Source organism: Homo sapiens, chromosome 19 (assembly GCF_000001405.40).
Source record: "Homo sapiens chromosome 19, GRCh38.p14 Primary Assembly".
Classification (NCBI taxonomy): domain Eukaryota; kingdom Metazoa; phylum Chordata; class Mammalia; order Primates; family Hominidae; genus Homo; species Homo sapiens.
Window position 1 is genome coordinate 21,547,867 of NC_000019.10, and position 21,684 is coordinate 21,569,550.

Sequence of the window (21,684 nt, forward strand, 5' to 3'; positions counted from 1 at the left end):
AGCTCTTTAGTTTGATTAGATCCCATTTGTCAATTTTGGCATTTGTTGCAGTTGCTTTTGTGTTTTAGTAATGAAGTCTTTGCCCATACCTATATCCTGAATGGTACTACCTAGATTTTCTTCTAGTGTTTTTGTGGTTTGGGGTTTTACATTTAAGTCTTTAATTTTTCTTGAGTATATTTTTGTATAAGTTATAAGGAAGGGGTACAGTTTCTGTTTTCTGCATATGGCTAGCCAGCTTTCCCAGCACCATTTATTAAAAAGGGAATCCTTTCCCCATTGCTTGTTTTTGTCAAGTTTGTGGCAGATAAGATGGTTATAGATGTGTGGTGTTATTTCTGAGGTCTCTGTTCTGTTCCATTGGTCTATATATCTGTTTTGGTAACAGTACCATGCTGTTTTGGTTACTGTATCCTTGTAGTATAGTTTGAAGTCAGGTGACGTGATGACTCCAGCTTTGTTCTTTCTGCATAAAATTGTCTTGACTATACAGATTCTTTTTTTGGTTCCATATGAAATTTAAAGTAGTTTTTTTCTAATTCTGTGAAGAAAGTCAATGGTAGCTTGATGGGAATAGCATTGAGTCATAAATTACTTTGGGCAGTATGGCCATTTTCATGATATTGATTATTCCTATCCATGAGCATGGAATTTTTTCCCATTTGTTTGTGTCCTCTCTTATTTCCATGAGCAGTGTTTTGTAGTTCTTCTTGAAGAGGTCCTTCACATCCCTTGTAAGTTGTATTCCTAGGTATTTTATTCTCTTTGTAGCAATTGTGAATAGGAGTTCACTCATGATTTGGCCCTCTGCTTGTGTATTGCTGGTGTATAGAAATGCTTGTGATTTTTTTTTTTTTTTTTTTTTTTTTGAGACAGAGTCTCACTCTGTTACCCAGGCTGTAGTGCAGTGGCATGATCTTGGCTCACTGCAACCTCTGCCTCCTGGGTTAAAGCGATTCTGTTGCCTCAGCCTCCCGAGTAGGTGGACCTCAGATGATCCACCTGCCTCAGCCTTCCAAAGTGCTGGGATTACAGGCATGAGCCACCATGACCAGCCAAATGCTTGTGATTTTTACACATTGATTTTGTATCCTGAGATTTTCCTGAAGTTACTTATCAGCTCAAGGAGCTTTTGGGTGGAGACGATGGGGTTTTCTAAATATACAATCATGTCATCTGCAAACAGAGACAAGTTTACTTCCTCTCTTCCTATTTGAATACCCCTTATTTATTTCTCTTGCCTGATTGCCCTGGCCAAAACTTCCAATACTATGTTGAATAAGAGTGGAGGAGCCAGGTGCAGTGGCTCACTCATGTAATCCCAGCATTTGGGGAGGCCAAGGCGGGTGGATCACCTGAGATTGAGAGTGCAAGACCAGCCTGACCAACATGGAGAAACTCTGTCTCTACTAAAAATACAAAATTATCCAGGCATGTTGTCATACGCCTGTAATCCCAGCTACTCCGGAGGCTGAGGCAGGAGAATCACTTGCACCCAGGAGGCAGAGGTTGTGGTGAGCCGAGATCATGCCATTGCACTCTAGCCTGGGAAACGAGTGAAACTCCGTCTCAAAAAACAAAAGAGTTGTGGGAGATGGCATCCTTGTCTTGTGCCAGTTTTCAAAGTGAATGCTTCCACCTTTTGTCCATTCAGTATGATATTGGCTATGGATTTGTCATAAATAGCTCTATTATTTTGAGATATGTTCCATCAATACCTAGTTTATTGAGAGTTTTTAGCATGAAGGGGTGTTGAATTTTATCAACAGTCTTTTCTGCATCTATTGAGATAATCATGTGTTTTTTGTCATTGGTTCTGTTTATGTGGTGGATTATTTTATTGATTTGCATATGTTGAACCAGCCTTGCATCCCAAGGATGAAGCCGACTTGGTCGTGGTGGATAAGCTTTTTGATGCGCTGCTGGAATTGGTTTGCCAGTATTTTATTGAGGATTTTCACTTCAATATTATTCAGGGATATTGGCCTGAAATTTTCTTTTTCTGTTGTGTCTCTGCCAGGTTTTGGAATCAGGATGATGCTGGCCTCATAAAATGAGTTAGGAAGGAGTCCCTCTTCTTCCATTGTTTGGAATAGTTTCAGAAGGAATGATACCAGCTCCTCTTTGTATCTCTGATAGAATTTGGCTGTGAATCCATGTGGTCCTGGGCTTTTTTTGGTTGGTAGGCTATTAATTACTGCCTCAATTTCAGAACTTGTTATTGGTCTATTCAGGGATTTGACTTCTTCCTGGTTTAGTCTTGGGAGGGTGTGTGTATGTGTCCAGGAATTTATCCATTTTTTTCTAAATTTTCTAGTTTATTTGCAAAGAGGTGTTTATAGTATTCTCTGTTGGTAGTTTGTATTTCTGTCAGATCAGTGGTGATATCCTATTTATCATTTTTATTGTGTCTATTTGATTCTTCTCTCTTTTCTTTATTAGTCTAGCTGGCAGTCTATGTATTTTGTCTATGTTTTCAAAAAACAGCTCCTGGATTCATTGATTTTTTGAAGGGTTTTTTGTGTCTCTATCTCCTTCAGTTCTACTCTAATCTTAGTTATTTCTTGTGTTCTGCTAGCTTTTGAATTTGTTTGTTCTTGCTTCTATAGTTCTTTTAATTGTGATGTTAGGGTGTTGATTTTAGATCCTTTCAGCTTTCTGATGTGGGCATTTGGTGCAATAATTTTCCGCTTAACACTGCTTTAGCTGTGTTCCAGAGATTCTGGTACTTTGTCTCTTTGTTCTCATTGCTTTCAAGGAACTTCTTTATTTCTGCCTTAATTTTTTCTTTTTCTTTTTTTTTTTTTTTATTGATCATTCTTGGGTGTTTCTCACAGAGGGAGATTTGGCAGGGTCATAGGACAATAGTGGAGGGAAGGTCAGCAGATAAACAAGTGAACAAAGGTCTCTGGTTTTCCTAGGCAGAGGACCCTGCGGCCTTCCGCAGTGTTTGTGTCCCTGGGTACTTGAGATTAGGGAGTGGTGATGACTCTTAACGAGCATGCTGCCTTCAAGCATCTGTTTAACAAAGCACATCTTGCACCGCCCTTAATCCATTTAACCTTGAGTGGACACAGCACATGTTTCAGAGAGCACAGGGTTGGCGGTAAGGTCATAGATCAACAGGATCCCAAGGCAGAAGAATTTTTCTTAGTACAGAACAAAATGAAAAGTCTTCCATGTCTATTTCTTTCTACACAGACACAACAACCATCCGATTTCTCAATCTTTTCCCCACCTTTCCCCCTTTTCTATTCCACAAAACCGCCATTGTCATCATGACCCGTTCTCAATGAGCTGTTGGGTACACATCCCAGATGGGGTGGTGGCCGGGCAGAGGGGCTCCTCACTTCCCAGAAGGGGCGACCGGGCAGAGGCGCCCCCCACCTCCCGGACGGGGTGGCTGGCCGGGCGGGGGCTGACCCCCCACCTCCCTCCCGGACGGGGCGGCTGGCTGGGCGGGGGCTGGCCCCCCACCTCCCTCCCGGAAGGGGTGGCTGGCCGGGCGGGGGCTGGCCCCCCACCTCCCTCCCGGATGGGGCGGCTGGCCGGGCGGGGGCTGACCCCCACCTCCCTCCCGGATGGGGTGGCTGCCAGGCAGAGACGCTCCTCACTTCCCAGACGGGGTGGCTGCCGGGCGGAGGGGCTCCTCACTTCTCAGACGGGGCGGCTGCTGGGCGGAGGGGCTCCTCACTTCTCAGACGGGGCGGCCAGGCAGAGACGCTCCTCACCTCCCAGACGGGGTCGTGGCCGGGCAGAGGCGCTCCTCACATCCCAGATGGGGCGGCGGGGCAGAGGCGCTCCCCACATCTCAGACGATGGGCGGCCGGGCAGAGACGCTCCTCACTTCCTAGATGGGATGGCAGCCGGGAAGAGGCGTTCCTCACTTCCCAGGCTGGGCAGCCAGGCAGAGGGGCTCCTCACATCCCAGACGATGGGTGGCCAGGAAGAGACGCTCCTCACTTCCCAGAAGGGGTGGCGGCCGGGCAGAGGCTGCAATCTCGGCACTTTGGGAGGCCAAGGCAGGCAGCTGGGAGGTGGAGGTTGTAGCGAGCCGAGATCATGCCACTGCACTCCAGCCTGGGCACCATTGAGCACTGAGTGAACGAGACTCCGTCTGCAATCCCGGCACCTCGGGGGGCTGAGGCTGGTGGATCACTCGCGGTTAGGAGCTGGAGACCAGCCCAGCCAACACAGCGAAACCCCGTATCCACCAAAAAAAATACGAAAACCAGTCAGGCACGGCGGCGTGCGCCTGCAATCGCAGGCACTCGTATTTCTGCCTTAATTTTATTATTTACCCAGTAGTCATTCAGCAGCAGATTGTTCAATTTCCATGTAGTTGTGCAGTTTGGAGTGAATTTCTTAATCCTGAGTTCTAATTTGATTGCACTGTCATCTGATAGACTGTTTGTTATGATTTCAGTTCTTTTGCATTTGCTGAGGAGTGTTTTACTTCCAATTATGTGGTTGATTTCAGAATAAGTGCTATGTGGCACTGAGAAGAATGTATATTCTGTTGATTTGGGGTGGAGAGTTCTGGAGATGTCTATTAGGTTCGTTTGGTCCAGAGCTGAGTTGAAGTCCTGAATATCCTTGCTAATTTTCGGTCTTGTTATCTGTCTAATATTGACACTGGGGTGTTAAAGTCTCCCACTATTATTGTGTGGGCATCTAAGTTTCTTTGTAAGTTACTAAGAACTTGTTTTATCAATCTGGGGGCTCCTGTATTGGCTGCATATATATTAAGGATAGTTAGCTCTTCTTGTTGCATTGATCCCTTTACCATTATGTAATGCCCTTCTTTGTCTTTTTTGATCTTTGTTGGTTTAAAGTCTGTTTTATCAGAGACTAGGACTGCAATCCCTGCTTTTTTTTTTTTCTTTCCGTTTGCTTGGTAAGTAAATATTCCTCCATCCCTTTATTTTGAGCCTATGTGTCTCTCTGCATGTGAGATAGGTCTCCTGCATACAGCACAGTCTTGACCCTTTATCCAATTTGCCAGTCTGTGTCTTTTAATTGGGGCATTTAGCCTATTTACATATAAAATTAATATTGTTATGCGTGAATTTGATCCTGTCATCATGATGCTAACTGGTTATATTGCACATTAGTTGATGCAGTTTCTTCATAGTGTCATTGGACTTTATAGTTCGATGTGTTTTTGCAGTGGCTGGTACTGGTTTTTCCTTTCCATATTTAGTGCTTCCTTCAGGACCTCTTCTAAGGGAGGCCTGGTGGTGACAAAATCCCTCAGCATTTGCTCGTCTGTAAAGGATTTTCTTTCTCCTTTGCATACGAAGCTTAGTTTGGCTGGATATGAAATTCTGGGTTGAAAATTCTTTTGCTTTTTTTTTTTTTTTTTTTTTTGAGATGGAGTCTCGCTCTGTTGCCCAGGCTGGAGTGCAGTGGCATGATCTTGGCTCACTGCAACCCCTGCCTGTCAGGTTCAAGTGATTATCCTGCCTCAGCCTCCAGAATAGGTGGGATTATAGGTGCCTGCCACCATGCCTGGCTGATTTTTGTATTTTTAGTAGAGATAGGATTTCACCATGTTGGCCAGGTTGGTCTTGAACTCCCAATCTCAGGTGATCCACCCTCCTTGGCCTCCCAAAGTGCTGGGATTACAGGCGTGAGCCCAAAAACCGGGCGTGGTGGCGTGCACCTGTAATTTCAGCTACTCGTGAAGCTGAGGCAGGAGAATCGCTTGAACCCAGGAGTTGGAGGTTATGGTGAGCCAAGATCGTGCCATTGCACCCCAGCCTGAGCAATAATCAAAACTCTGTCTCAAACAAACAAAAAAGAATATTGAATATTGGCTCCTACTCTCTTCTGTCTTTTAGTGTTTCTACAGAGTGTTCTGCTGTTAGTCTGATAGACTTCCCTTTGTAGGTAACCTGGCCTTTCTCTCTGGCTGCCCTTAACATTTTTTCCTTCATTTCAACCTTGGAGAATCTGATGATTTTGTGTCTTGGGGTTGCTCTTCTCGAGGAGTGTCTTAGTGGTGTTCTTTTTATTTCCTGAATTTGAACGTTGGCTTGTCTTTCTAGGTTGGGGAACTTCTGGATAATATCCACATCACTTTCAGGTACACCAATCAATCATAGGTTTGGTTTTTTTACATACTCCCATCTTTCTTGGAGGCTTTGTTCATTCCTTTTTGTTATTTTTTCTCTAATGTTGTCTTCACGACTTATTCTATTGAGTTAATCTCCAGTCTCATATCCTTTCTTTCGCGTGATTGATTTGGCTATTGATACTTGTGTATGCTTCGCAGAGTTCTCATGCTGTGTTTTTCAGCTCCATCAGGTCATTTATGTTCCTGTCTAAACTGATTATTCTAGTTAGCAATTCCTCTAACCTTTTGTCAAGGTTCTTAGCTTCCTTGCATTGAGTTAGAGCATGCTCCTTTAGCTCAGAGGAGTTTGTTATTACCCACCTTTTGAAGCCTACTTCTGTCAATTCGTCAATCTCATTCTCCGTCCAGTTTTTGTTTGTTTGTTTTTTTGAGACAGAGTCTCGCTCTGTCGCCCAGGCTGGATTGCAGTGGTGCAGTCTTGGCTTACTGCATCCTCTGCCACCTGGGTTCAAGCAATTCTCCTGCCTCAGCCTCCCAATTAACTGGGATTACAGGCACCTGCCACCATACCCAGCTAATTTTTGTATTTTAGTAGAGACAGGGTTTTACCATCTTGGTCAGGCTGGTCTTGAACTCCTGACCTCAAGTGATCCACCTGCCTCAGCCTTGGCCTCCCAAAGTTCTGGGATTACAGGCTTAAGCCACTGCACCCAGCCTGCTCCATCCAGTTTTGTGCCCTTGCTGGAGAGGGGTTGTGATCATTTGAAGGAGAAGAGGCATTCTCATTTTTTGAATTTTCAGTGTTTTTGCACTGGTTTTTACTCATCTTCATGGACTTATCTACCTTTGATCTTTGAGGCTGATGACATTGGATGGGGTTTTTGTGTGGTGGTCCTTTATGTTGATGTTGATGTTGTTGCTTTCTGTTTGTTAGTTTTTCTTCTAACAGGCCTCTCTTCCGCAGGTCTGTTGCAGCTTGCTAGAGGTCCACTCCAGACCCTGTTCACCTGGGAATCACAAATAGAGGCTGTAGAATGGCAAAAATTGCTTCCTGCTCCTTCCTCTGGAAGCTTCATCACAGAGGGGCACCAGCCTGATGCCAACCGGAGCTCTCCTGTATGAGGTTTCTATCGACCCCTGTTGGGAAGTCTCTCCCAGTCAGGAGGCACAGGGGTCAGGGACCAACGTGAGGAGGCAGTCTGTCCCTTAGCAGAGCTGACGTGCTGTGCTGGGAGAATCCCTCTTGTCAGGGTCACCTGCTCTCTTCAGAGCCAGCAGTCAGGAAGGATTAAATCTATGGAAGCTGTGCCCACAGCAACCCCTTCCCCCAGGTGCTCTGTCCCAGGGAGATGGGGATTTTGTCTGTAAGCCCCTGACTGGGGCTGTCTCCTTTCCATCCGAGATGCCCTGCCCAGCGAGGAGGAATCTAGAGAAGCAGTCTGGCCATATTTTGGCAGCCCACAAATCCTCCCAGCCTCCTTAGCACTAGAAAACTGCCTACTAAAGCCTCAGTAATGGGGGATGCCCCTCCCCCCACCAAGCTCGATCATCCCAACTCAACTTCAGACTGCTGTGCTGTCAGTGAGAATTTCAAGCCAGTGGTTCTTAGCTTGCTGAGCTTCATGGGATTGGGACCTGCTGAGCGAGACCACGTGGCTCCCTGGCTTCAGCCCCTTTCTAGGGGAGTAAAGGGTTCTGTCTTGCTGGGGTTCCAGATGCCACTGTGGTACAAAACAAACAAACAACAACAACAAAGCAAAACTCCTGCAGCTAGCTTGGTGTCTGCCCAAATAGCCACCCAGTTTTGTGCTTGAAACCCAGGGCTGTGCTGGTGTAGGCACACCAGGGAATCCCCTGATCTGCAGATTGCAAAAATCATGGGGAAAGGATAGTAACCTGGCCGGGTAGCACAGTTCCTCACGGCTTCCCTTGGCTGGGGGAGGGAGGTCCCCCAGCTCCTTGCACTTCGTGGGTGAAGCGATGCCCCACCCTGCTTCTGCTCGCCCTCCATGGGTTGTACCCACTGCCTAACCAGTCCCAGTTGGATGAACTGGGTACCTCAGTTGGAAATGCAGAAATCACCTGTCTTCTGCATGGGTCTCGCTGGGAGCTGCAGACTGGAAATGTTTATTTGGCCCTCTTGACCCTGTCCCCCAAATCATCTTTTATTTTTATTTCATCCAAATAGCTGCTATCTTTTTTTTGTACATCTTTGCCTAAATTATAATAAGAACAACGATCTAAATTTGCATAGCAAGTGGACCCTATATTTGGAATTTAAAGAGTTTCTGGCAAAATTTAGATTAAATTGGCTAATTAATAACACTTTTCAAATTGCTTTCCCCTGCTCCAATAATGAAGTATAACTTCTAGAAACAGCTGAAAAATGAATTGTTCTTCGGGTTATATGCTCTTAATGTTACATTGAAACAGAGTATGAAGGCTTGAAAATATCCGAAGGGAGAAAATGGAATCAGCAGTGATCCTGCTGTGACCTCACTACTTAGTAGTTATGCTTTTAGCCAATTCGTTTACTTGTCTTTAAACTGCACATTTCTGGCAGGGCAGCACTAATCACTGATCAAAACTACCTTTTTTTTTTTTTTTTTTTGAGGTGTAGTCTCGCTGTGTCACCCAGGCTGGAGTGCAGTGGCATGATCTCAGCTCACTGCAACCTCTGCCTCCCGGGTTCAAGGGATCCTCTTGCATCAGCCTCCCAAGTAGCTGGGATTAAAAGCGTCTGCCACCACACCCAAGTACTTTTTATATTTTTAGTAGAGACGGGGTTTCACCATGTTGACCAGGCTGGTCTTGAACTCCTGATCTCAAGTGATCCACCTGCCTCAGCCTCCCAAATTGCTGGGATTACATGCATGAGCCACCATGCCTGGCCAAATCTACCTTTAAAAATTGTGCAGGAGGGAAAGGCTTTACCAACAGTGATTAGTTCAAAAAACTTCAACTCTAGGCCTGGCGCGGTAGCTCATGCCTGTAATCCCAGCACTTTGGGAGGCCTAGGCGGGTGGATCATGAGGTCAGGAGATTGAGACCATCCTGGCTAACATGATGAAACCCCGTCTCTACAAAAATGCAAAAAATTAGCCGGGCATGGTGGCGGGAGCCTGTAGTCCCAGCTACTCGGGAGGCTGAGGCAGGAGAATCACTTGAACTTAGGAGGTAGAAGTTGCAGTGAGCCAAGATCACACAACTGCACTCCAGCCTGGTGACAGAGTGAGACCCCATCTCAAACAAACAAACAAACAAATTAAAAACAAACAAACAAACAAAAAACTTCAACTCTACCTCCTGGCTGGAACTCATATTGTAGATTGCAAAAGCACAGAATTAACATCATAATACTATTGAATTCAAAAAGAAATCTAGAAACTTCAGGGAATCCAGAGAAGATAGAGCAGATGGTCTGAATAGTCACCATTCACATTTTGCTTTGTTTTGGTAACTATTACTATCACTTAATTACATAGGGTGAATATAAGAAAATTGCCTTTTTCTTATTTTCAGTGCTAACCCTAAAATGGTAAAACTCTTGCAGGTTGAAATTAACAGCTTCTCAGTGGCCCTTCAACAGAAGGTTAAAGGGTAGCGAAGTTGCCTCTGTAATTTCCAGGGTGAACAAATCTGAACTCAGTTCTTGCAGTTCCCAAATTCACAGCTATCTTGGGATATGTTGATTTGTGGGCTGCAAAATATGAGAAATTCTACCTCAGAGAATTCTGTTTATAAAAACTTATTCGCATCTAATAATCTGAAGAGATATAAACACAGCAATGTTGTTACAACTACCTGTTAATTGTTAATCCTTGGAAAAAGAATTGATAATTATTTCTGAAGACATGAAAAGCTTCATATAATAAACAATAGACTCTCAAATGTAAATCAGTTTTTATTTTTAATTTGGAGAAGTTAATAATAATAAATTGCCAGCAATAAAAAATAAATCATTCATCACCGTTACCGTGTTACTAATGGCTGGTCCATATAGGTTTGCAGTGATTTTGGTTCTTCCATTCTCAAAAGAAATAATCCAGCCCAGAGACGAAGAGTGGGTTTGAAGCATAAGTGGGGGGTTGTTGAAAGGAAATAAAGTACCCTTGGGAAAGAACCAAGGGTGTGACTTGAGAGATCAAGTGCCAGAGAAAGGTCATATACCAGTTAAACTCCAATATTTGGCCTCTCAGTGTGCATGCTTGGGTGTCTTGCCCAATATTTGAGATTTTATGAAACAGCTGCTGCCCCTGAGCTCAGGATGTGTTCTGTGTTTAGGAGGTTTCCCCCTCCCTGGTACCAGCTGAGACCATTTGTCAATCCTGAGCTGACCACCTGATAATCACCTGACATTCCTGGGGCACATTCCCAGGGTCTCTACCTTACCCCACTCATTACTATCTGACTACCTGCTCTAACTGGGTGATCAAGAATATTCTTTTTTCTTTTTTTCTTTTTTTAAGATGCAGTTTCACTTTTGTTGCCTAGGCCAGAGCGCAATGGTGCGATCTCAGCTCATCACAACCTCCGCCTCCCCAGTCCAAGTGATTCTCCTGCCTCAGCCTCCCAAGTAGTGGGATTACAGGCATGCATCACCACACCTGGCTATATTTTTGTATTTTTAGTAGAGAAGGGGTTTCTCCATGTTGGTCAGGCTGGTCTTGAACTCCCGACTTTAGGTGATTTGCCCCAGGTGATTCGACTGCCTTGGCCTCCCAAAGTGCTGGGATACAGGCATAAGCCACTGCACCTACCCTAGATATTCTACTGGCCTTGGAGCTTTCGGTGTCTAAAACTTTTACCAATCAATATATGCAGTCCATCAACTTTCTTAACTTTTATTGTTAGTATGAACTTGATTTTTTTTGTTGATACACTAGTTAAGATTTTATTTTATACTTAAAAATTTATTTATTAGTGGTTTAGACAACTCCTCTTTCTGACAACTCCATCTAACTTCTAGGTATAAGGCTTCCTGAGGATATATTGTAAGTTTGGCTTTGAATATTCCACACTGAGAAATTTTGAAAGCATTCTAATTAAAAGAATTAAATTCAGGCTGGGCATGGTGGTTCACACCTGTAATCCTAGCAATTTGGAAGGCTGAGGCGGGTGGATCACTTGAGGCCAGGAGTGCAAGACCAGGCTGGCCAACATGATGAAACCCCATCTCTACTAAAAATACAAAAATTAGCCAGGCATGGTGGTGCATGCCTGTAATCCCAGCTACTCAGGGGGCTGAGGAGAATCACTTGAACCCAGGAAGCAGAGGTTGCAGTGAGCCGAGATCATGCCACTGGACTCCAGCCTGGGTGACAGAGTGAGACTCCATCTCAAAAAAAAAAAAAAAAAGAATTTAATTCAATCTCAGCTCCCTGCAGCCTCTGCCTCCTGTGTTCCAGCGATTATCCTGCCTCAGTCTCCCAAGTAGTTGGGATTACAGGTGCTGGCAATCACACCTGGCTAATTTTTGTATTTTTAGTAGAGACGGAGTTTTACCATGTTGGCCAGGCTTGTCTCAAACTCCTGACCTCAGGTGACCCGCCCACCTCTGCCTCCAAAGTGCTGGGATTACAGGCATAAGCCACCATGCCCTGCCAGGGAGTTCTTATCTTGATAAAGGATTACATGAGCCCTCTAAAAGATGTTTGTTTAAACATTATAGGTGGTGGCAGCAGTAGTGGGCAAAGGTGTAGTGTGCAGCACTTGATTATTTTACTGCTGTTTCTGCTGAGCCTGTGGCAGCCCAGCCCTGTGTGCAGCTCTCTCCCTGCCCCATGATGCCACCACATTCCACCTGCTGGCATGGAGACATGCACCTGAGGTGGACCCTAGGAGCCCGGCCTAAGATGGGCTCCTACTGCTGCTGCTTGGGCTGCTGGCCTCAGGACTGCAGGAAACTTGGGGGACACCAGGGCACTGAGAACAGCCACACTGGCATAATCAACACCTTCTTCTGGAACATCCATTGTCCCCTCCTGTTGTGAGGAGACAATGTCTACTGCTCAGAAGCTCTTGACCCAGCTGACTGAAAAGTTCGTGTTTAGCGAATATATTTCTACAGACATTGTGGAGAGTGTGGTCAGAAATTTACAGATTTAATGCTATTCCTATCAAACTACCAAAACATTCTGAACAGAACTAAAAAACACTATTTTAAAATTTACATGGAACAAACAAACAAACAAAACCCCAAATAGCCAACCAATCCTAAGCAAAAAGAACAAAACTAGAGGCATTACATTACCTGACTTCAAACTATATTACAAGGCTATAGAAACCCAAAGCAGCATGGTACTGGTACAAAAGCAGACTTACAGACCAATGTGATAGAGAGAGCTCAGAAATGCCACCCATTTACAACCATCTGATTTTTGACAAAGCTGATGAGAGGAATGTGTGAAGAATTCTCTAGTTAATAAATGGTGCTGGGATAACTAGCTAGCACTATGTAGAAGACTGAAAACGGACCGCTTCCTTACACCACATACAAAAATCAACTCAAGATAAAGACTTAAATGTAAAATTTAAAATTATAAAAAAAAAATAGGCCAGGTGTGGGGCTAACACATGTAATCCCAGCACTTTGGAAGGTCAAGGCAGGCGGATCACCTGAGGTCAGGAGTTCGCAACCAGCCTGGCCAACATGGCGAAACTGTGTCTATACTAAAAATATAAAAATTAGCCGGGAGTGGTGGTAGGCACCTGTAATCCCAGCTACTCAGGAGGCTGAGGCTGAAGAATTGCTTGAACCAGGGAGGCAGAGGTTGCAGTGTGCTGAGATTGCGCCATTGCACTCCAGCCTGGGTGACAGAGTGAGACTCCATCTCAAAAAAAAAAAAAAAAAAATTCCCTGGAAGGTAACCTAAATAATACCATTCCAGACATAGAAACTGGCAGATATTTTATGAAGAAGATACCAAAAGCAATTGCAACCAAAGCAAAAATTGACAGATGGAACCTTATTAAACTAAAGAGCTTTTTCACAGCAAAAGAAACTATCAACAGAGTAAACAGGCATCCTACAGAATAAAAGAAAATATTTGCAATCTATGCTTCTGACAAAGATCTAATATCCAGAATCCATGAACTTAAAAAAACTTATTAAAAAGTAGGCAAAGGACACAAACAGATCTTTTTTTTTTTTTTTGAGATGGAGTCTTGCTCCGTCTCCCAGGCTGGAGTGCATGGTGCTATCTCAGCTCACTGCAACCTCCGCCTCCCGGGTGCCGGTTCAAGCAATTCTCCTGCCTCAGCTTTTGGAGTAGTTGGGATTACAGCCATGCACCACCATGCCCAGCTAATTTTTGTATTTTTAGTAGAGACAGGGTTTCACCATGTTGGCCAGGCTGGTCTTGAACTCTTGACGTCGTGATCCACCTGCCTCGGCCTCCCAAAGTGCTGGGATTACAGGCGTGAGCCACCACGTCCGGCCTGAACAGATGCTTTTTAAAAAAAGACATGTGTGTGGCTAAAAGCATATGAAAAAATGCTCATCACCAATCAGTAGAGATATGCAAAGAAAAACCACAGCAAAATACTTTCTCACACCAGTCAGAATGGCTATTACTCAAAAGTTAAAAAATGACAGATGCTGGCAAGGTTGTGGAGAAAAGGGAATGCTTACACACTGCTGGTGGGAGTGTAAATTAGTTCAACCATCGTGAAAACCAGTGTGGTGATTCCTCACAGAATTAAAGACAGAATTACCATTTGACCCAGCAACCTCATAATTGGGTATATGCCCAAAGAAATATAAGTTATTCTGTCATAGACATGCATGTTCACTGTGGCACTATTCACAATAGCAAAGACATGGAATCAACATGCTCATCAAAAATGGCAGACTGGATAAAGAAAATATGGTATGGCTGGGCAAAGTGGCTCATGCTTATAATTCCAGAATGTGGGAGGTCAAAACAGATGGATTGCCTAAGTTCGAGTTTGAGACCAACCAAGGCAACATTTGTTGGTCTACAAAAAATACAGAAAGAAAAATTAGCCAGTCGTGGTGGTGTGCACCTGTAGCCCCAGCTACTTGGAGAGCTGAGGTAGGAGGATTGCTTGAATGCAAGATGTTGAGGCTTCAGTGAGCCAAGATTGTGCCCATCACAGGACAGTGGGCGCCCAGACTCCAGCCTGGGTCTCCCCCCAAAATAAAATAAAATATTTAAAAGAAAATATGGTACATAAACATCATGGAATACTGTGTGGCCATAAAAAAAGAACAAGATTATGTCCTTTGCAGCAACATGAACAGAGCTGAAGCCCATTATCCTTAGAAAACTAATACAGAAAGAGAAAACCAAACGCATGTTCTTATTTATAAGTTAAGAGATAATAACAAGAAAACATGAGGCCAGGTGCGGTGGCTCACGCCTGTAATCCCAGCACTTTGGGAGGCTGAGACAGGTGGATCACGAGGTCAGGAGATCAAGAGCAACCTGGCTAACACAGTGAAACCCCGTCTCTACTAAAAAAAAATACAAAAAAAAAAATTAGCTGGGCGTGGTGGCAGGCACCTATTCGGGAGGCTATTCAGGAGGCTGAGGCAGGAGAATGGCGTGAACCCGGGGGGTGGAGCTTGCAGTGAGCCGAGATCATCATGCCACTGCACTCCAGCCTGGGAGACAGAGTGAGACTCTGTCTCAAAAAAAAAAAAAAAAGAAAAAGAAAAAAAAAGAAAAGGAAACATGGACACAGGCTGGGCACGGTGGCTCACACCTGTAATCCCAGCACTTTGGGAGGCCAAAGTGGGCAGATCACCAGAGGTCAGGAGTTCAAGACCAGCCTGGCCAAGATGGCAAAACCTCATCTCTACTACAAATACAAAAATTAGCCGTGCATGGTGGTGCATGCCTGTAATCCCAGCTACTTGAGAGGCTGAGGCAGAATAATCACTTGAACCCAGGAGGCCAAGGTTGCAGTGAGTCGAGATGGCACCACTGCACTCCAGCCTGGGTGACAGAGCAAGAATCTGTCTTAAAAAAAAAAAAAAGAAAAAGAAAAGGAAACCATGGACACAAAGAGAGGAACAGACACTGAGGCCCACTTTGGAGTAGAGAGTGGAAGGATAAAGATCAGAAAAAATACCTGTTGGGTACTATGCTTAGTACTTCAGTGATAAAATAATCTATACCAAATTTCCATGACAGTTTTATCTATATAATAAACTTGCACATGTACCCCTGAACCAAAAATAAACATTAAAAAGTAAAAACTCCATTAGTGGGGGAGAGTCTAATGTAGGCAGAAGAACTGGTTTGTGCTATTTCTGGGTCCATGTAGACTGATGAGGTTATGAACAGGTGGCCCAGAACCCTAGGTGGAGAAAACAGGTTTCTGCTGCAGATTCAGTGTCTGGGTGTGGGGATATGCCAGACTTATAGACACTTTTGTGGGTTTTTGGCAAGAAACACTAGAATGAAAAATGCCATGGTGAAGTTCCTGATGGTGGTGTCTAGTCCGGGGAGGGGTGTGGACATGTCAATGTCTAGTGGGTATGTTTATGAGTGGGTGGGAATACTGTGGTGGCAGCTGTGGGAAAAGGGGGACTGTCATCAGAGCTCCTTAAGTTTTCATCCTCTCTCACTCTGGGAGGAGACCTAGAATCACAGGACAATGGGCAGCGTGACAGCCTGTGTACAGGAGAGCAGAGCCTCCCATTCCCAGACACCGAGCGATTAGTCCAAGCCAGGATTCCATATCTTTTCTCTGTCACCAAATGTGTAGAGTTAGCTGTACACCAAGCAATTCTGCAACACCAACTAATTGTCCAACATTTGAATTCTGACCCTACCCAGAGTCAGCACAGAACCTGATTCCAGGCTTAGTCTCAATACATTGACCTCACAGCAGATGCCAATCACAAACCCCTTGGGCCCATCTGTGCTTGTAAGCTACTGTTTAAAAATTCAGAACTCCCATAAGCTCCCTGAAGTTCAATAATTTGATAGAGCTACTCACAGAACTCAGCATGTTTACCAGTTTATTGTAAAAGCCACAACCCAGGAAAAGTCAAATGGAAAAAACATATAGGACCAAAAAAAGAGCTGGGAAAAAATGAAGCTTATACATAATCCTAGAAAATAGCTGTGATTAATAAAATTATCCATCCATCGTGTGCTCCAGGAACAGCTTATGGAAAGAAACACCCTTCCCATTATGACTTAGATGGTGCTGTCTTTTCTTACCTATCACATAGCCAGACACAGACTCTGCACATTTTCTTCTTGTTCTCAAAAAAAAGGTGCCGGACACAGTGGCTCACACCTGTAATCCCAGCACTTTGGGAGGCCAAGGCGGGTGGATTACCTCAGGTTGGGAGTTTGAGATGAGCCTGGCCAACATGGAGAATCCCCATCTCTACTAAAAATACAAAATTAGCCAGGCGTGGTGGCGCATGCCTGTAATCCCAGCTAGTCGGGAGGCTGAGGCAGGAGAATTGCTTGAACCTGGGATGGGGAGGTTGCAGTGAGCCAAGATCACACGATAGCATTTCCAGCCTGGGCAACAGGAGCAAAACTCCATCTTAAAAAAAAAAAAAAGAGGAGGTGAATTTGTCCTCAGTGGTCAAAATAAAACACTTATAAAGCAAACTTCAGTTAAGTTTATCTCCTTCCCACAGATTCCTGAACTTTGAGCTACCTTCACTTTGAGTCAACATAAAACTTCATTTTATATCCCTCCTAAGAACATGCTGACTTCAGGGAAAAACATTCTCTGATCTAAAATCTGATTTTTTTACCCTCCACTTGCCATTGCCCTCCCAACTTCTTTCTAATCTTGTTTGCTCCTCCCTATGAAAGAAAGCCCTTGTCTGCCTAAACTTTGCAATCCTTAAAGATCTTATAGTTGGTACTTCCTCCTGTTGCAATGCTCCTTTGTACACTGAATTTTCTTACATAAATCCAACTTTATTTTTAAAAGTCAAGAAACTGCCTCAAAACAGTAACAAGTTCATCTTTGGTAATATTCTCCCAGTCTCCTTTTATCTTAACCTTACTAGCATCTGCCTGTGGGTCCCCAGCTTTCCAGGGCTCTGTAGCTTCCCTCAGGATTAAGGCTTCTTTTATAGCTGGGCTGAGCAGGCTGGGACTTCTGCAGGGGAGGCTCCCCAGAAAGAACTAACTGGGCCCTTAATAACCTCCTTTTGCAGGCTCAACATTAGTTTTTTCTTGGAGTCACTGGGCTCAGGCTTTAATTTCCATGTCAGAGTTATACACTTGATTTTTGAAACTAAGTGTTTGAAAAATTCAGCAAAATTACTCAAACACAGTGTTCATACATGGAAAATAAATTATAAGGTGCTTACTTTTTTTTTTTTTTTTTTTTGAGACAGAGTCTCACTTTGTCACCCAGGCTGTAGTGCAATGGCACAGTCTTGGCTCAATGCAAACTCTGCCTCCTGGGTTCAAGTGATTGTCCTGCCTCCTCAGCCTCCTGAGTAGCTGGGACTACAGGTGCATGCCACCACACTTGGCTAACTTTGTATTTTACGTAGAGACGGGTTTCACTATGTTGGCCAGGCTGGTCTCGAACTCCTGACCTCGTGATCTGCCCGCCTTGACCTCTCAAAGTGCTGGGATTACAGGCATGAGCCATCGCACCTGGCCTACATTTTATACCTCAATAAGAACAGCAAAAGTATCTATTTCTTTCAGATAATAAATTTATTATTGTATTATTTCTATTAAAAATAATGTAGTAAACAATTAGTCATAGGGAAAAACTTCTAGGAGGTACCAAGTTTCATCTCATGAAATTTAGTATGAAACTCAGAAATCAAGATAACAGGATACAGAACAGAGATATTCACTCTCAGAAATTTACCCTGCAGAAAGAGGAACTAATGTTTTATAAATTTATGTAACTCACCAATTATCTACAATATTTCCTCGTGGAAATGTATTCATTTTCTACAGCCAAAATCGAAGGAGATTTTCCCTATTATTTTCCTTGGTAGCATTCTAAAAGCTGAGCCTTGGAATTCTGTTTGAAATCACCTACAGAAAACACACCTGAGAAAATTCCTAAACTCTCTCTGGGAAAGAAAAAGGTAAGTAAGAATTTTTAACATACGAAATATATGATTAGATATTAATATTTTTTGAAACCCACCACTTTTATGCCCTTTGTAAATGTTTTTGAACCTTTCAAGCTCTACTAATAAAATGCAATTTACAGTTTAAGAAATTGAAATCAATATAAGTGAACAAATCTTTTCAAGGTGACGAACCCAGGGTGTAGCAGTGATGATTAAAAAACAGATGTGTCTGACTTATGTGTCAAGTCAGGTCATCCAATCACGTGAGAGATTCTCCCACCCCAGCCTGCTCACTTAACTGCTCAATGACTAACCTCTCAGGAGACACTGCACTATGTTCCAGTGAGTGGCCCAGGTTTTACTTTCGGAAATTTTTGCAGCATCTCTCTGGGGTCAGGTTTTCTTTTGTTTTTTTTTTAGGGGGGATACTATTTTTTCTTTCACAAATCTTAGAGAATTCAGGGGACAGAAATTATTTCTGTTTTCCCCTTAATACCAGCCTCTGATTGGCTGACCAGCAATGTGTCACCAAGATATGAAAGCTGGGTTGGGTGAAAACAATGTTAATGTCTCAAGGGGTTACTTTTTTAAAGGAAGAGCACACCAGGAGATTTCTCTCAGCCCCAGTGCATCCATCTGCTTCCTTGAGAGGCTACACTCCATACCTCAGGCTGTCCTATGAAAGAAAATGACCCAGGACCTGAGATTCCCTAGACACTCTAGCAGACATAGCCATGGCTGATATAATGGTTTATTCACAGACAGTACTGAAACCGATGACCAAGAAAAAACTAAAGGGTGGTTGAGGACACATCACCCAATAAAGCTTCCCCCCGCCAAAAAAAAACCTTTACCCCAAAGCATTCTGGTAAGATCTCTGCCTAGGGAAGGTAAAAGGAAAAGAGGCACAGAGATTTTACACAACACAGTGTCAGGGGTTATTCTTTGCTTTCTTCTCATGGGAAATATTTACAAACAGAAAATGAATCTTTTAAAATGTGCCATCCAGTGGTTTGTAAAAAAAAATACAGTATTGAAAATATACACTAAAGGACAAATAGATGACAATGTGAACTAGGGAAACGAGGCTGGCATTTGGGATTGTCAGAAGGAACTGGAAATTTAGTATTTTACTTCAAGCCTGAGTTAGGCTGGAGGAATGGGGGATGAGGGCTAGACTTGAGACCGCACTTGGGACACATTTAAAAAATTCAGGGGAAAAAAAAAATCAGTCTCTTGTGAAGTGTGTATCCTCAAACATATATTTTTTTTTTTTGTAAATTTTTGTAAATTGCATTGGGGAAAACAAAATTTAAGCTTAACCAACTAACTATAAATGGCCAATTAAGCTCTGATTACATAACCAGAAAATTTACACACTCAAAGTGGAAATTAAGAAAGTACGTGACTCCCTGTAGTCCCAGCTGCTCGGGAGGTTGAGGCAGGAGAATCGCTTGACACCGAGAGGTTGCAGTGAGCTGAGATCGCGCCACTGCACTTCAGCCTGGGTGACAGAGCAAAACTGTCTCAAAAAAAAAAACAAAAAAAAGTAGGTAACTGTACCTAACCGATTATTGAATTTGTTTTTTTTTTTTTAATCATGGACCTTATAAAAGTCTTTCCTTCAAGTTCCTCCCATGAACCACAAACTAAAACCCATAGCTGGGTACTCTACAATTTTTGAGCCACTCTTTGATTAAATTCTTTAATCTTTTTGCGGTGACTCCATAAATTTTTAATAGATGAAAAGAGGGACTAGGAACCCCACCGACCAAAACTCTTCCCATTCATGAACCCTCACCCGAGTCGGGATTCTCCCCTGACTACCCTCCCATGGTCCCTGCACAATTGGCCAGAGACAAGGCGCTGCGGCTGCAGAGCTGCCCAGAGAGGCCTCCAGGCCAGGGGACCATCACTGGGTCACTGTGCAGACAGGACGCCCAGTGTGGGGAAAAGCAAGAGAGATCAGATTGTTACTGTGTCTGTGTAGAAAGTAGACAGACATAGGAGACTCCATTTTGTTTTGTACTAAGACAAATTCTTCTGCCTTGAGATGCTGTTAATCTATAATCTTACCCCCAACCCTGTGCTCTCTGGAACATGTGCTGTGTCAAACTCAGGGTTAAATGGATTAAGGGTTGTGCAAGATGTGCTTTGTTAAACAGATGCTTGAAGGCAGCACGCTCCTTAAGAGTCATCACCACTCCCTAATCTCAAGTACTCAGGGACACAAAAACTGCGGAAGGCCGCAGGGACCTCTGCCTAGGAAAGCCAGGTATTGTCCAAGGTTTCTCCCCATGTGATAGTCTGAAATATGGCCTCGTGGGAAGGGAAAGACCTGACCGCCCCCCAGCCCGACACCCATGAAGGGTCTGTGCTGAGGAGGATTAGTATAAGAGGAAGGCATGCCTCTTGCAGTTGAGACAAGAGGAAGGCATCTGTCTCCTCCCTGTCCCTGGGCAATGGAATGTCTCGGTATAAAACCTGATTGTACGTTCCATCGACTGAGATAGGAAAAAACCACCTTAGGGCTGGAGGTGGGACATGTGGGCAGCAATACTGCTTTGTAAAGCATTGAGATGTTTATGTGTATGCACATCTAAAAGCACAGCACTTGATTCTTTACCTTGTCTATGATGCAAAGACCTTTGTTCATGTGTTTGTCTGCTGACCCTCTCCCCACTATTGTCTTGTGACCCTGACACATCCCCCTCTTGGAGAAACACCCATGAATGATCAATAACTACTAAGGGAACTCAGAGGCTGGTGGAATCCTCCATATGCTGAACGCTGGTTCCCTGGGTCCCCTTATTTCTTTCTCTATACTTTGTCTCTGTGTCTTTCTCTTTTCCAAGTCTCTCCTTCCACCTAACGAGAAACACCCACAGGTGTGGAGGGGCAACCCACACCTTCAGCCCAGGGTCCTGCTGTCAGCGCAGCCACCATGCTATGGCTGAAGAGGACTGAGGCTGAGTTGGCCAAGGAGAACTCGGGGCGCAGACTGTGGAGCTGACTGACGGGAGACCCGAGTCCCACCACAGCCACTTGCCACCAGTTCCAATCAACTCCTTCCCTTTTCTCAGGATGTCGGACCCGGCACTCTCACCATTTCTAGGCTTCCAGGGGGTCCTGGCATCTTAGCTGTGGATCTCCCAATACCTGCAGGTCACAAAGTCACGGAGACTGGGCCTCTGAAGACTAGACGTAGAACTCCAGCTGCAGCCGGAGACAAAGGCCCCCATATTCCGGAAGCTGTCTTGCCCGCTCCAGCTGCGTGGCTGATTGGAGGGTTTCCAGCCCAGTGTTGCTGATTGGATAACGCTTAAATCCCCGCCTCCTCACATCGTGATTGACAGAAGATGTGACCAAACGCTAGGCTGAATGAAGAAAGAGTGACTGCCTAAGCTGCCGCCCGCTCAGAAAGGGCTTCGTCCCTGAGCTGAGCCAGGCCCACCCTAGAGGGTGTTTGCATGTAATCTTGTGTATAAGGTTATATGCATTTATAAATATTATACTGTATGGCTATTCACAAATGAAAAGAATATAATAATAA

General features: G+C 44.1%; 1 long non-coding RNA gene across 1 annotated transcript, besides 1 other annotated feature; it reads right to left on the reverse strand.

Annotated features, from left to right (window-relative positions):
* Positions 3,512-4,293: an enhancer, noted in NCBI's record as "H3K27ac hESC enhancer chr19:21734180-21734961 (GRCh37/hg19 assembly coordinates)". NCBI's record gives its function as "activates a minimal SCP1, AML or CMV promoter by ChIP-STARR-seq in primed H9 embryonic stem cells {active_cell/tissue: H9 hESC(primed)}" and the evidence as "EXISTENCE:reporter gene assay evidence [ECO:0000049][PMID:30033119]".
* On the reverse strand, positions 16,057-21,390 carry LOC124904670 (uncharacterized). The gene is made up of 2 exons (XR_007067182.1): positions 17,963-21,390; positions 16,057-16,615 (listed from the first exon to the last, which is right to left on the reverse strand). It is a non-coding gene; the product is annotated as an uncharacterized LOC124904670 (long non-coding RNA).
* Positions 21,391-21,684: the final 294 nt, after the last annotated feature.